Source organism: Homo sapiens, chromosome 11, assembly GCF_000001405.40.
Source record: "Homo sapiens chromosome 11, GRCh38.p14 Primary Assembly".
Taxonomy (NCBI): domain Eukaryota; kingdom Metazoa; phylum Chordata; class Mammalia; order Primates; family Hominidae; genus Homo; species Homo sapiens.
Window position 1 is genome coordinate 47,270,646 of NC_000011.10, and position 15,525 is coordinate 47,286,170.

A 15,525-nucleotide genomic window follows, 5' to 3' on the forward strand; every position below is an offset into this window, starting at 1 on the left:
AACACGTTTGGTTCTCAAGAAATTTTTTTTTTAACTTGATATTTCAAAATTGACTTGCTGGAGAGAGAACACCATTTCATCTTTCTGCAATCGCTCTCCTCCCCATCCTCGTGTATCTACCTTCTTCCACCTTTCCCTGCCCTCCCCTCTACCCCAACCCTGCCAGCTGCCAGCCTCCTTGCTCCAGTTCTCCCATACGCTGGACCAGTCTGTGCTGATGAGCTTGCAAGGTCACTGCCTGGGGAGGTAGAGGAGGGGAGGAGAGCCTCCTGTTGTGTTCACGTCAGCAGAGATGTCATATCGCTCTCTGGTTCCTGTGGTTTTACTGTGAGATCCTGTCCAAAATGAGGGACGAATCCAAAGGGTTGGTTAGCATGGCTATTTCTGCTGAAAAGGCATAGATAACTTAAAAGTTTGTGAATCCTAAATCTACCTCTGGGTGGAGCTGATGGTGATGTCGGACTTCAGCAGATAGATATGCATTTTGAGCTGGATGCTTTTGGAATACAGGAAGATAGGAACCAGAGGCTCTACGTTAGTAAACATGGTTGAGGCAAGAGGCAGAGTCGGAGCCTCGTTGGTTGTGAAGACAAGAGTGTGAGTTGTGGGTGATGTTAGAGGATTTAGTCTTTAGAGGAGTTAAAGGTGTTAGTCTTTTTGGGGAGGGGAGAGAGGAGAGAATGAGAAGGAAAATCTTAGTTATCTTTGCAATCTGAATAACTGAAGGCAGTGGCTGCTGATCAGATGTGAACTCTGGCTAAAAATTTATCCTACCACCCGTAGCTAGAATAATAACAAGATCTCAGGGTCCTTGTGGCTCTGGAAGGAAATGATTGTGAGTGACTTGAGTTTCGTCAGATAGTTGTCAGTGGAGAGGGACTGAGATCCCACCAAGGCTAGAGAGGCCTGATGCGTACTCAGTAGGAGGTGCTTCAGGCCTGATCTTTGAGATTTTGGTTGGAGAGGGCTCCGGGTTTTCAATGTAAACATAGATTGCAAGGTGTAGTCTAGAGCTCTGGTTCTATAAATTCTGTTTTACTTTAAGATACTTTGGCTCTCACTCTAGTCATTTCTACATAATTCTTTTTTTTTTTTCGAATCCCATGACAGGTTAACTACATAATTCTTTATTAAAACAAATTATGCTTTTTACTCATATCCCATTTCATTTCTCTATTTCTCTCCCCCTTGGATTCTGCTCAGGAGGAGCTGAGTGCGGCTCTGTTATAGTGCCCCACCTCCTGCAGTTTGCTCATGACTCTATTGCAGTTGGGAGAACCAAGGGACTATTTGGGTTCGTTAAGCAGTGGTGATACCTAGAAATGAATATATGGCGTGCTCAGAAACCTGGTGGTGTTCTAGAGATATCACTATCAAAAGCCAGAATTAGGACGAAGTACAAACTACAGACAGATGAGGGAGAAGACAACCTAATTCTTAGCAGGTACTGTCAGTGGGAGAAGTGTCTCTAGGTTCGAGGAGAGTGAATTGTTATGGGCCTTGGCTGACTCTGGAGTAGCAGCTGCTAGCACTGTGCGGTCACCAAGCAGGGGAGGGGCTGTGGCTCTGCTATAAATAGTGCTGGGAGCCAGAGTCGCTATAGAGATAAAACTGAATCCTATTACCTGCAGGTCCTCTACTGGGAGCAAGGGAAAGGAGAAAGCAGTATTTTGAGGATTTGAGAGGTATTGCAAATAGGTCTTGTTTATTGTTAGGTAGGGGAGAAAAAACTTCTACTCATTACCTAAACCAAATAGGGCCTTAAGCATCCAGGGAGTGTGTATGTCTGTATATATGGGAGTGCCCGCAGCAGCAGGTGAGGGAGTAGAGGGTGTGTGTGTGTATACGATAATGGGTTTCTCTCCGTGTGCATTGAACAAGGTCTTAGGCCGCATGTAGAGCACAGAGGTAGAATCCTGGAACACTAGAAATATGAGAAAAGAACTTCTACTCATAGAAGAAGTAGCCCTACCAGAAATAGCTGTGCAGCGGGGTGAAACGTTTTATTTAGAGAAGTGTATAGACACTTAACACGAAATAAATTATAATTAAGACCATGAAAGCTTTTCCTAATTTTAGGACATAGTTTAGAAATTTCTCTGAGCACGTCTCCCTGTCCTTGCAGAAATCCTGGTATTTCTGCCTCTAATTCATAGCCTCTGTAATGTATAGTAGGACAAGGACTCATCTGTGGGTATTGTATTACTGATTCTGAGCCTGAGATCAAAATAGAGGAGAGATTATGATTCAGCACCAAGGGCAGAGCTAGTAGCAGTGGCCTCTGGGCTCCTTTCTTGCCTGAAGGAGGGAGAAAAGTGGTGCAGATTAGGCAATTGGGGCATGGACATTTTCATTTGAGATCACATGAGGTAGAATAGCCAGCTGTTATTGTCTGAGCATGGTTAACTAGACAGTCTATGTGGTAGTTTTACATCAAGCTGAATGTAGATTGTTGAAACAGAATAATTAAGTTTCCATCTAGACCTAGAAGTGCAGGTTAGTGCTAGCTAGTTGAGGAGTCTGGTTTGATCCTGATCCACCCTGGAGGGATCCTGAGAGTGACTTCAATTTTTGTTACAATGACTGAGTCCAGATTAGATGGCCTAGGTCTGTTTTTCAGAAACAGAGCCCCAGGCGTTAAGCTGGAAATTAAGTCATTGGTAGGGATAGGTAGGTGAACCATTATTTATCTACATTTTTTTTTTTTTCTTGAGACGGAGTCTCACTCTGTCACCCAGGCTCGAGTGCAGTGGTGCGATCTCAGCTCACCACAGCCTCCACCTCCTGGGTTCAAGCGATTCTCATGCCTCAGACTCCCGAGTAGCTGGGATTACAGATGTGTGCCACCACACCCGGCTAATTTTTTTGTATTTTTAGTAGAGATGGGGTTTTGCCATGTTGGCCAGCTGGTCTCAAACTCCTGACCTCAGGTGATCCGCCTCGGCCTCCCAGAGTTCTGGGATTACAGGCGTGAGCCACCATGCCTGGCCTATCTATTTTTTAACATTCGATTCTGTGAGCTCATGAGCCTAGACACGAGGCTAGGCAAGCGTCAAGTTCTCCTATCATTAGTATGAAAGTGGAAGACCTTCTGACCTCTGCCTCTGGCCGGGAAGAAGTTGAGAGGGATGAGTCCCTTAGGCACAGCAGTGGATCTTATCAGTACTTTTTTTCCTATTAGACTTCGATTTTCAGAATTCCTCCTGGGAATGCTGACTCCTTGCTTGGTGCCCTGATGCTTCTCTGAGATAAACTGATGAATTGGAACCATGGTGCAAAAGAAGAAGTTCTGTCCTCGGTTACTTGACTATCTAGTGATCGTAGGGGCCAGGTAACCAAGAAGAGATTGACTTTTGTCTTAATATCTGGGATAGCCATAAAATCTGCAGTTGTTCCCTTCTCCGATTTCCATGTTGCTTTGCATAGCTCATCTTCTCCTGTTATTTTACCCTGATGGGAGCATCGAAGCCAGTAGGGAAAAAACAAAATCAGGTGGATTGAAAGCAAAACCCTGCTCTTAACTAACATCTTCTTGATGTCGAGCAAATATACTCTTTATACCTCAGTTTTCTTATTTTGTAAAAAGAAAAAGTACATTATAAGCTACTCCTCTATGTATACTTTTTTGGTAATTTATTAGTTAATTCACTTTAAAAGATGTTAATCATCTTAAGGTGCCAGTGATAATTTTATTGTCAAAATCTCCCCTTCGTTTCAGAATAGATGCCTTCATGACAGTGTAGACTTCACTTAGGTTACCAGCTCCATGCGGCAGGCAGCACCCATATTTTCCAAGGTGTTACAGTCAGGTTACTTTATCCAAAATAGCATCTTGAGCTTTATTTGTTGACTGTGGTTAAAATTTGATAGCCCATTCCATCCCTTCAGGCTGCTGAATTTGTCTTTATGTTCTTCAGGCACCCGAGCAGTGATAGCGTGGCCCAGACTCCTGAATTGCTACGGCGATACCCCTTGGAGGATCACACTGAGTTTCCCCTGCCCCCAGATGTAGTGTTCTTCTGCCAGCCCGAGGGCTGCCTGAGCGTGCGGCAGCGGCGCATGAGCCTTCGGGATGATACCTCTTTTGTCTTCACCCTCACTGACAAGGACACTGGAGTCACGCGATATGGCATCTGTGTTAACTTCTACCGCTCCTTCCAAAAGCGAATCTCTAAGGAGAAGGGGGAAGGTGGGGCAGGGTCCCGTGGGAAGGAAGGAACCCATGCCACCTGTGCCTCAGAAGAGGGTGGCACTGAGAGCTCAGAGAGTGGCTCATCCCTGCAGCCTCTCAGTGCTGACTCTACCCCTGATGTGAACCAGTCTCCTCGGGGCAAACGCCGGGCCAAGGCGGGGAGCCGCTCCCGCAACAGTACTCTCACGTCCCTGTGCGTGCTCAGCCACTACCCTTTCTTCTCCACCTTCCGAGAGTGTTTGTATACTCTCAAGCGCCTGGTGGACTGCTGTAGTGAGCGCCTTCTGGGCAAGAAACTGGGCATCCCTCGAGGCGTACAAAGGTACAGTTTGCTGCTGATGCCTAATGGGGGAAGCATTTAGAGATTCCATGTAATTGGTCTTTGAGGGGCATAGGAAATTTCCTCTACAGCTCAAGGTCCTTCAGACCTATTAAGCATATTTAGAGTATTTAGAGTTAATCTTTTTTCTTTTGGAGACAGTCTCGCTCTGTTGCCCAGGCTGGAGTACAGTGGTGCGATCTCGGCTCACTGCAACCCCTGCCTCCTGGGTTCAAGTGATCCTTCTGCCTCAGCCTCCCGAGTAGCTGGGATTACAGGTGCACGCCACCATGACCAGCTAATTTTGGTATTTTTGTAGAGACAAGGTTTCGCCATGTTGGCCAGGCTGGTCTCAAACTCCTCACCTCAGGTGGTCCACCCACGTTGGCCTCCCAAAGTGCTGGGATTATAGGCGTGAGCATCATCCCCAGCCAAGAGTTAATCTTTACTAAGCAAAAGACTGCTGCAGAGTTAGACCTCTTTCCAAAATTGTGTTTGGAGTAATGCTGGAATTTGGTGTTTTAACTGTGGTTAGGACAGTAAGTCTTACCCAGTATATATCTTTACATTTGCTTTTGCCATTGTATATACTTTCCGGTCCTATCTGAGCTCAGAGACTGGGCTTTCTTAATGATGCTCCGTTTCCCATTGTCATCATTAGAGCCTCTGTGGTGATACTGAGTTGCAGTAGGGTATCAGCTTCTGATGCTAATGTGTCTGATTCCTGCTGTCTGCTTCTCAGGGACACCATGTGGCGGATCTTTACTGGATCGCTGCTGGTAGAGGAGAAGTCAAGTGCCCTTCTGCATGACCTTCGAGAGATTGAGGCCTGGATCTATCGATTGCTGCGCTCCCCAGTACCCGTCTCTGGGCAGAAGCGAGTAGACATCGAGGTCCTACCCCAAGAGCTCCAGCCAGCTCTGACCTTTGCTCTTCCAGACCCATCTCGATTCACCCTAGTGGATTTCCCACTGCACCTTCCCTTGGAACTTCTAGGTGTGGACGCCTGTCTCCAGGTGCTAACCTGCATTCTGTTAGAGCACAAGGTGAGAGGCAAGCTTCCTAGACCTTTCTAGGGGAGAAACTCTTAAATATGCCAGTGGCCAGACCACGAGCTCTTAGAGGACAGGGACTACATATTTTTCACCTTTTTGTCTTCAGGAGGTAACATGATGCCTGGTAAACAGCAGGTGTTCCGTAGATGTGGGTTGAATTAAGATACTGGTATCATGTGGGATGTATTTAGAGGGTTTACCATTCATTAGGGCTTATCCTTAATTGTACTGACCTAATTCTTTGGAAATATCAGTAGTTCTGTTTCAGTGAGTGGTCCTGGGATGGGCAGTACAAGAACTAGGAAGGTAAGGGAGTGATTTGCATATCTCAGGTGACTGAGGATCACCATTGTGCCTGGATTGGGAGGTGGCAGGCATGGTGGGGCAGGGGGCAGTGGGAGAGACAAAGCTGGAGCTGTAGGCTCGATGAAGTGGAAACCAAGTTGTAATGTTGGAAGCTGTTTTCTTGTAAACCATATTTTATGTTTTGGAGTGATTCTTACTGGATGGCTCATGACAGGTGGTGCTACAGTCCCGAGACTACAATGCACTCTCCATGTCTGTGATGGCATTCGTGGCAATGATCTACCCACTGGAGTATATGTTTCCTGTCATCCCGCTGCTACCCACCTGCATGGCATCAGCAGAGCAGGTGAGTCTCAAGGCGACTTCCGGCTTTCTCACCTCTGTCTTCCTGAGGGAGGAGGCTTAATGCTCAAAGAAGTTGTAAGTGAGTGCTGGTCCTCAATCCTTTGTCATAACTTATTTGTCTACAAAATCTGACTGATTTGAACTGATCTGGTGGCAAGGCTTATGCTATTTTAGTTTTCATTTATCACAACAAATGTTAATGACTGTAGGCCACTGGCTACACTGCAGCAGGTGTTACGTGTGTTACGTAATACAGTAGTTCCTCCTTATCTGTGGAGGACACATTCCAAGACCCACCAGTGGATGCCTCAAACCACAGATAGTTCCAAACTCTATAGATACTTTGTTTTTTTCTATACATATATACCGGTGATACCGTTTAATTTATGAATTAGACACAGTAAGAGAGTAACAGTTTTCTCTTTGGGCATATATTTGGTGTTTTTTGGAGACAGAGTCTCCCTCTATCCCCCAGGCTGGAGTACAGTGGCACAATCTCGGCCCACTGGAGCCTCTGCCTTCCAGGTTCAAGTGATTCTCCTGCTTCAGCCTCCCTAGTAGCTGGGATTACAGGCACTGCCACCACCACACACCAAATAATTTTTTGTATTTTTAGTAGAGGCGGGGTTTCACCATGTTGGCTGGGCTGGTCTTGAACTCTTGACCTTAGGTGATCCGCCTGCCTCAGCCTCCCAAAGTGCTGGGATTACAGGCATGAGCCACCGTGCCCAGCCTCTTTCTACATATATTTGGCTTCTCTTTGGCATATCCCAATTGCCAGCATCAGTACCCTTGTGCTTTGGGGCCATTATTAAGTAAAATAAGGGTTACTTGAACACAAACGCTGAGATTGTGTGACAGTTGATCTGATAACCGAGATGGCTACAGGCTGGACACAGGGGTGATTCATGTCTGGGTGGGACAGAGCGGGACAGCATGAGATTTCATCATGCTTCTCAGAACTATTGTCCTGCACTTCAGATATGATCAAGCTGCAGTTTAAAATTTATGAATTGTTTATTTCTGGAATTTTCCTTTTAATATTTTCAGACTACAGTTTGCCTCAGTTAACTGGAATCACAGAAAGTGAAACTGTGGATAAGAAAGACTACTGTATACAAAAAAATGTACCATGTTACCTTTCAAAAAATCTGAAAAATTCTGAATTTTCAAATACATCTGGCCTCAAGAGTTTTGGAAGAGGGATTGTATCTGCATTTCCTTATCTAGAAGAATCCAGACTTGATAAGTGCTCATGATAGGTTTTGTCTTTGTTTCTCACCTTCTTTATCATTTCCACAGCTGCTGTTGGCTCCAACCCCGTACATCATTGGGGTTCCTGCCAGCTTCTTCCTCTACAAACTGGACTTCAAAATGCCTGATGATGTATGGCTAGTGGATCTGGACAGCAATAGGGTGAGGTTCTTGGCTGAGGCATTGTAGAGTCTAGAGGAGGATTGCATTCTAGACCCAGTCCTGAGATATCTGTTTCTAGATTCCTTTCAGGAACGTCCTAAGTTGTTGGATAATTTCTATTGCGAGACTTACTGAAACAAGTTTTTTTAAATGCTCCTTTTACCTTATTAGCCAAATAAACCCTTGGTTAGGTCTCAGAGAATTACAGGATTTATTTTTGCCAGAATTAAGTGACCCCCCACCATATCCTCCAAGAGCAGTCAGACAGTTGTGATCTGAGGGCCATTACATGTGGTATAGATCATCTCTTAATGGTTTCCCTGGGGTATAGTTTCCAGTAAGAAACTGTCTTTCAGTGCAGGCTTAATTAATTATATGACCATTCTGCAATGTGAATACATTCAGACTTTGGTGGGAAGCCCTTATGTGTGCTCATTGTAAAACTTAAAAAAAATAAAAATAAGCGTAAATAAAATAAGTGAAAAGAAAAACCATAATCCTTTTATCTAGAGATAATAACCAATAACATTAAGTTATATTTCATTTCAGATGCATATGTATGTCATATATGTGTGTACATATATCTTACTGTGCAGTTATATAATGTATATTCGTTTATATAATAATAATGTATATACGTCCTCTTATTTTTATTTATGTAAGTGAAATTCCTGAGCAATAAACTCTAAGGTCACGTCTTTTATCATTTCTCTGGTGCAGGTGATTGCCCCCACCAATGCAGAAGTGCTGCCTATCCTGCCAGAACCAGAATCACTAGAGCTGAAAAAGCATTTAAAGCAGGTAGGTGAAGAACGAAGGAAAGAAAGGGGAGTATTAGATGCTGTGGGATTCCTATAAGAAGACAGCTATTCTCAGAGCCAATTTCCTATCAAACTTCAAGTGGAGTAGTTTTCTTCACCCTGGATGGGCTTAAGAAAACGCGTATCCCATTTCTGGGTGGCAGAGTGAATTTCTGTTTTTGATTCCAATTCATTGTATGCTTTACCATCTTCTAATGCTTATGATGCTGTATAAAATAGCCCTTCACTCTCTGTTTCTTGTATGTGTGCCACTCTCTATGGCTTCAGAACATTTTCTCAGTCTTTTTTTTTTTTTTTTTTTGAGATGTGGAGTCTTGCTCTGTCCCCTAGGCTGGAGTGCAGTGGCGCGATCTCGGCTCACTGCAAGCTCTGCCTTCTGAGTTCACGCCATTCTTCTGCCTCTCCAGGAGCTGGGACTATAGGCGCACGCCGCCACACCCGGCTAATTTTTTTGTATTTTTGGTAGAGACGGGGTTTTGCCATGTTAGCCAGGATGGCCTCTATCTCCTGACCTCATGATCCGCCTGCCTCAGCCTCCCGAAGTGCTGGGATTACAGGCGTGAGCCACTGCGCCCGGCCGATTTTCTCAGTCTTGTTAGGTGGAAGTTAGTAGTGTGGACCGTCTGGCTGCTTTTATATTATCTTCTAGAGTTGATCCTGAGGGTTCCTTTCTTCAAAAATTCCTTTATTTGGCTGGGCACGGTGCCTCATGCCTGTAATCCCAGCACTTTGGGAGGCCGAGGCAGGTGAATCACGAGGTCAGGAGTTGAAGACCAGCCTGGCCATTATGTTGAAACCCTGTCTCTACTAAAAATACAAAAATTAGCCGGGCATGGTGGTGGACGCCCGTAGTCCAGCTACTCAGGAGGCTGAGGTAGAAGAATCACTTGAACCCAGGAGGCAGAGGTTGCAGTGAGCCAAGATTGCGCCATTGCACTCCTGCCTGGGCCACAGAGTGAGACTCAGTCTCAAACAAACAAAAAAATTCCTTTCTTTGAGTAATTCCTCACATCCATTTTTTATTGATTGATTTTCTTCTTCCTCTGCATGCTGAACACAGTACCTGAAGGTAACACATGACAAAGCTTCATTCCCTTCCTCTGCCTTATGTGTTGTACAGGAACACCAGTAGATAACACTGTGTTTATTTTTAGGAATCCCTGCTCTCATTTGAAGGGCCTTTAGAAATCTTTTTCTGTGTTGTCTGAAGTACTTAGTAGTATCTCTAGATGCTATGTTTGGGTTTAAATGGGTCATTGTGTTTCATCCCTCTCACCTCAGTTGCTTCATCACTGCTAATATAATATGATACCTTGTTACTGCAGAGTCTAGTGGGAATTTTAAGTTCAGAAAGTTCTCTAGCTGCCTTCACTTGCTGTGTTTTCAGTCTTGATGATTGCTTTAGTATGACTAATGAGATGGAGAGGTTAATAAATGGAATTATATTTAATTAAATTAATTAATTAATTTATTTATTTATTTTGAGATGGAGTCCCACTCTGTCACCCAGGCTGGAGTGCAGTGGCACAATCTTGGCTCACTGCATTCTCTGCCTCCCAAGTTCAAGCGAATCTCTTGCCTCAGCCTCCTGAGTAGCTGGGATTCCAGGCACACACCACTGTGCCCAGCTAATTTGTTTGTATTTTTAGTAGAGCTGGGGTTTCATCATGTTGGCCAGGCTGGTCTCAAACTCCTAACTTCAGGTGATCCACTTGCCTTGGCCTCCCAAAGTATTGGGATTACAGGCATGAGCCACCGTGCCCAGCCAGAATTATATTTTAAATGTTTGTAGGAGCTAAGATCCTTGGACTCATTGATCCTGTGTTCTAACTCCTGCTATTCAAAGTGTGGTTTGTGAACCAGCAACATTAGCATCACTCGGGCTTGTTAAAGTGCAGGATCACTCCAGGCATATTGAATCGGGATCTGCATTTTAACAGCCTCCCCTGGTGATTCTTCTCCTCACTCACATTTGAGAAGCACTGCTGCTCTCGACCAGTGGTCTTCACGCTGCCCCATTGAGCCTCTGAGGGGCCGATTTAGCTTGGGAGCCCTGAGCATTTGAGGCTCTGCTTCCTGTGTCCTTCAGAGCAGCTCTGTTTTCAAATTTCCATTCTATATAATTTCACATAGATTCCAATTTTAAAAAACATTTAATGACTATAATAATTTTGCAAACGACTGTCGTGGACTTCAGATAAGATCAAGTTGCCTTGAGCTAGGTTGTCTTAAGATGGAGAGCTACATATTTCAAACTGTTTTCTAAAGGCTAGAATATTGGGATTTTTATTTCAAAGATGAAAGGTCTGAAATGGGTTGGCCGTGATTTGCAAATTAGCACCGTTCTTTGTTGCAGAACTTTTTGACCAGAGAATACGAGGTAGCAGACCTTAGGAAGGCCTTTTCCTTGGAGTTAAGATTGGCTAGCTGCCCAGGGACGTTCCTTGTGTAAGGAATTTTCTTGTTGTTCCACAGGCCTTGGCCAGCATGAGTCTCAACACCCAGCCCATCCTCAATCTGGAGAAATTTCATGAGGGCCAGGAGATCCCCCTTCTCTTGGGAAGGCCTTCTAATGACCTGCAGTCCACACCGTCCACTGAATTCAACCCACTCATCTATGGCAATGATGTGGATTCTGTGGATGTTGCAACCAGGTAAGACCAAGCCGACTGTATAATCACAAGTTCTTAAATTAATTTCTTTGCTCTCTAAGGGACCTTGGGGCAGACTATTTCTCTGAACCAGGGTTCCTTTTTTTTTTGAGATAGATTCTCACTCTTGTTGGAGTGCAATGGCATAATCTCAGCTCACTGCAACTTCCACCTCCCGGGTTCAAGTGATTCTCCTGCCTCAGCTTCCTGAGTGGCTGGGATTACAGGCGCCTGCCACCACGCCTGGCTAATTTTTACATTTTTAGTAGAGACGGGGTTTCACCATGTTGGCCAGGCTGGTCTGGAACTCCTGACCTCAGTTGATCCACCCGCCTTGTCCTCCCAAAGTGCTGGGATTACAGCCGTGAGCCACCGCACCCAGCCCAGGGTTTCTTTATGTATAAAATATATACTATATTTGGTTGTTATTTTCCACCTTAGTAAAATCAAAGTGAAGAAATAGTAAACCACGTGCTCAGGATGAAGAGGGGGCTGATGATTCTTTAAGATATCTCTCCCCTTGATGTTGGAAGCCTGTTAAGTGATGGCTTTGGGAGGTGTTCTAAGACTTTGGATCATGGGAATCCTTACCCTATGGGTCTCAGATTATCTCATCATCTGCTTCCCCAGGGTTGCCATGGTACGGTTCTTCAATTCCGCCAACGTGCTGCAGGGATTTCAGATGCACACGCGTACCCTGCGCCTCTTTCCTCGGCCTGTGGTAGCTTTTCAAGCTGGCTCCTTTCTAGCCTCACGTCCCCGGCAGACTCCTTTTGCCGAGAAATTGGCCAGGACTCAGGCTGTGGAGTACTTTGGGGAATGGATCCTTAACCCCACCAACTATGCCTTTCAGCGAATTCACAACAGTGAGTCTACCTGCCCTCTGCTCCGCTCTGCCTTGTGCCTCTGTCCTCCTGATGGACTTTGATTTTTCCTTTGCTAATGTTTGACCTGTGCCTTCTATCCTGGCTCTGCTTTAGACTTTTTCCTGCCTTTCTTTCAGGCGTTGCTTGCCTTTTTTTCCTTGCTGCTGACTTTCTGTTCTTTTCCCTCATGGGGTAGATATGTTTGATCCAGCCCTGATTGGTGACAAGCCAAAGTGGTATGCTCATCAGCTGCAGCCTATCCACTATCGCGTCTATGACAGCAATTCCCAGCTGGCTGAGGCCCTGAGTGTACCACCAGAGCGGGACTCTGACTCCGAACCTACTGATGATAGGTGAGCATCCTTAGGGCAGCAAAAAGGTTTTAAAGGTGAGGAGGCTCTCACTAGCCCTTCTTTAGCACAGAGAAGGCAAAGTCTCATAGGCTTCCCATATCAGTGTTTTTAATTTTATTTTATTTTATTTATTTATTTTTTTGAGACGGAGTCTCGCTCTGTCACCCAGGCTGGAGTGCAGTGACGCAATCTCGGCTCACTGCCAGCTCCGCCTCCCGGCTTCATGCCATTCTCCTGCCTCAGCCTCCCGAGTAGCTGGGACTACAGGCGCCCGCCACCACGCCCGGCTAATTTTTTGTATTTTTAGTAGAGATGGGGTTTCACCGTGTTAGCCAGGATGATCTCGATCTCCTGACCTTGTGATCTGCCCGCCTCGGCCTCCCAAAGTGCTGAGAATACAGGCGTGAGCCACCGCGCCCGGCCTTATTTATTTATTTTTGTATGTATGTGACAGAGTCTTGCTGCTCTGTCACGCGGTCTGGAGTGCAGTGGTGCCGTCTCAGCTCACTGCAAGTTCTCCCTCCCAGGTTCAAGTGATTCTCCTGCCTCCGCCTCCCAAGTAGCTGGGACTACAGGTGCTGCCACCTTGCCTGGCTAATTTTTGTATATATATATTTTTTGAGATGGAGTCTTGCTCTGTCGCCCAGGCTAGAGCGCAGTGGCGTGATCTGGGCTCACTGCAACCTCCGCCTCTCGGGTTCAAGCGATTCTCTTGCCCCAGCCACCCGAGTAGCTGGGATTACAGGCACATGCCATCACGCCCAGCTAATTTTTTGTGTTTTTAGTAGAGACAAGGTTTCACCATGTTGGCCAGGCTGGTTTCAAACTCATGCCTTCAAGCAATTCGCCTGCCTCGGCCTCCCAAAGTGCTAGGATTACAGGCGCGAGCCACTGCACCCGGCTACTTTTTGTATTTTTAGTAGAGATGGTGTTTCACCATGTTTGCCAGGCTGGTCTCAAACTCCAGACCTCAGGTGATCCACCCGCCTTAGCGTCCCAAAGTGCTTGGATTACAGGCATGGGCCACTGTCCCGGCCCCCATATCAGTCTTTATGCTTTGGTTGACTGTTTTTCTTGGCTTCTTTATTTGATTTGTTCCCTGGCCTTGAGTTCGGAGTGCTCCCCCTTTTATTTTTCCTGGTGCTGATTGTAGGTGTTCTCCCTGCCCCTTTCTGTTTTGTTTGTTTTTTATGCACTTCACTCTGCAGTGGCAGTGATAGTATGGATTATGACGATTCAAGCTCTTCTTACTCCTCCCTTGGTGACTTTGTCAGTGAAATGATGAAATGTGACATTAATGGTGATACTCCCAGTAAGTGTGCTTGGGGAGATTGGCCAGCCCTGGGCAGGGGTTGGGGGCCCAAGGATGGAGTGGTCTGTACCTGCCTCCCTTGGATTTTGGCAGATGTGGACCCTCTGACACATGCAGCACTGGGGGATGCCAGCGAGGTGGAGATTGACGAGCTGCAGAATCAGAAGGAAGCAGAAGAGCCTGGCCCAGACAGTGAGAACTCTCAGGAAAACCCCCCACTGCGCTCCAGCTCTAGCACCACAGCCAGCAGCAGCCCCAGCACTGTCATCCACGGAGCCAACTCTGTAAGTGAGGAGCGGTGGATGAGTGAGAACCATGGCCTGGGATGTGGGCCTCATCTATTAGGAAAGCCAGGCTGTAGCTATTCATTTGCTGCTTCTCACACAATTTTCTCATCTTCCTCTTCATGGGCCCTAGAGCTTAGAGCCTAAGAGACCTACTTTTGACCCCAAAAGGAGGTCATCAGGCTTTGTTCAGGGTACAGCTATGATCCCCCTTATATAGTTTGTGGGGACAGAGAACGGGTGCTACAGAGATCATTTCCCACACATTCCTTAGGCTAGAAATCTGACAGGCCTGGTCCAGCCCTGCCAAACTGGGATTACAGGAAGGTACCATTGGGCACCAGGTAACCACTTTTAATTTCATGCGGCCTTTAGGAACCTGCTGACTCTACGGAGATGGATGATAAGGCAGCAGTAGGCGTCTCCAAGCCCCTCCCTTCCGTGCCTCCCAGCATTGGCAAATCGAACGTGGACAGACGTCAGGCAGAAATTGGAGAGGGGTCAGTGCGCCGGCGAATCTATGACAATCCATACTTCGAGCCCCAATATGGCTTTCCCCCTGAGGAAGATGAGGATGAGCAGGGGGAAAGTTACACTCCCCGATTCAGCCAACATGTCAGTGGCAATCGGTGAGAGCCTGGGCATCCCTTCTAGATGGGTGACTGAAGGACCTCACCTCAGTGGACCCTGGGCAAGGGTTAATCAGAAAGTCTGAGAAGTCTGAATGCTCTCGTGGTCCTGCCATCCCCAGAGGATGGTGTTCTGATCCAGGGGCTTAGGAATTACGGGAAGGGAGTGGCAACTGTAGTATAGCATAATTATGGCCCATACTCCCAAGATCAGGTACCCCTGCCTGGGGATCATAGGTGCCTCTGTGCATTCAAGGGCTCAAAAGCTGCTGCGGCCCAACAGCTTGAGACTGGCAAGTGACTCAGATGCAGAGTCAGACTCTCGGGCAAGCTCTCCCAACTCCACCGTCTCCAACACCAGCACCGAGGGCTTCGGGGGCATCATGTCTTTTGCCAGTAAGTGCCTTCAGCTGTCTCTCTCACTCCTGTGTTCCATTTTCTCTACAGCAGAGCCTGACTATGGCAAATGTTGCTTAGAACTTCACATGTAGGGCTAGGTTGGCATTAGCAAGCCCTAATCCAGTCATTTGGGTGATACTGAATAAGGCGTTTTCAAGTGAGGTCAGTAAAGGACAGGGACAGATTAGTCATTATGCCTGGACATTTCAGTCTATTTCAGGTAAGACAGCTGGATGGGTAACTGGAAAACAGGCAGTAAATTCAAAATCACACACTTGTACTTATATTTTGTGGAAATACTCTGGTCAAATTTGATTTGAGTCCATATCTGGTATCTTCTTTGCCTCATAACGGACTCTTCCATGAATGTGCTTTGAAATCGATATGAGATTGAATTTTGTGCTTAGATAGTATTCCCAGCAGTGCAGGGTCGTATCAGCTAAAGATTGAAGACAGACCATGGACTAGAGAGAGCGAACGTAGAGGATCCCTGTGATTGTGAGTTTCTTCAGCAGCCAGGGAGGGACAGTGCCAGCTTCAGACCAGAAGCCTGTTAACTGCCAGCTTTCATGCTGTG

General features: G+C 46.2%; 1 protein-coding gene and 1 long non-coding RNA gene across 107 annotated transcripts in view; one reads left to right on the forward strand and one right to left on the reverse strand.

The window, feature by feature from the left end:
- Positions 1-15,525, forward strand: part of MADD (MAP kinase activating death domain) — a 60,844-nt gene that overhangs the window by 1,458 nt on the left and 43,861 nt on the right. For 46 of the 105 annotated variants that reach the window (NR_164836.1, NR_164839.1, NM_001376651.1 and 43 more), the window contains exons 2-14: positions 3,182-3,331; positions 3,918-4,514; positions 5,254-5,557; positions 6,087-6,218; positions 7,520-7,633; positions 8,354-8,434; positions 10,930-11,108; positions 11,736-11,971; positions 12,168-12,324; positions 13,533-13,636; positions 13,730-13,920; positions 14,296-14,420; positions 14,806-14,945. Coding sequence is in view for 97 of the 105 variants with exons in the window: in NM_001376651.1 (NP_001363580.1) it covers positions 3,270-3,331; positions 3,918-4,514; positions 5,254-5,557; positions 6,087-6,218; positions 7,520-7,633; positions 8,354-8,434; positions 10,930-11,108; positions 11,736-11,971; positions 12,168-12,324; positions 13,533-13,636; positions 13,730-13,920; positions 14,296-14,420; positions 14,806-14,945 (2,422 nt within the window). In the remaining 8 variants the exon portion in view is untranslated. Of the gene's footprint in view, positions 1-491; positions 598-3,181; positions 3,332-3,917; positions 4,515-5,253; positions 5,558-6,086; positions 6,219-7,519; positions 7,634-8,353; positions 8,435-10,929; positions 11,109-11,735; positions 11,972-12,167; positions 12,325-13,532; positions 13,637-13,729; positions 13,921-14,295; positions 14,550-14,805; positions 14,946-15,525 lie in introns of those variants that run through there. The other 59 variants (NR_164835.1, NR_164840.1, NR_164841.1 and 56 more) reach the window with 9 other exon arrangements.
- MADD-AS1 (MADD antisense RNA 1) lies at positions 12-1,465 on the reverse strand. Of its 2 annotated transcripts, none has more exons than NR_120569.1 (3): positions 1,431-1,465; positions 434-496; positions 12-335 (listed from the first exon to the last, which is right to left on the reverse strand). It is a non-coding gene; the product is annotated as an MADD antisense RNA 1 (long non-coding RNA). The 2 variants fall into 2 exon arrangements; NR_120568.1 differs by lacking the exon at positions 1,431-1,465 and adding an exon at positions 1,317-1,430.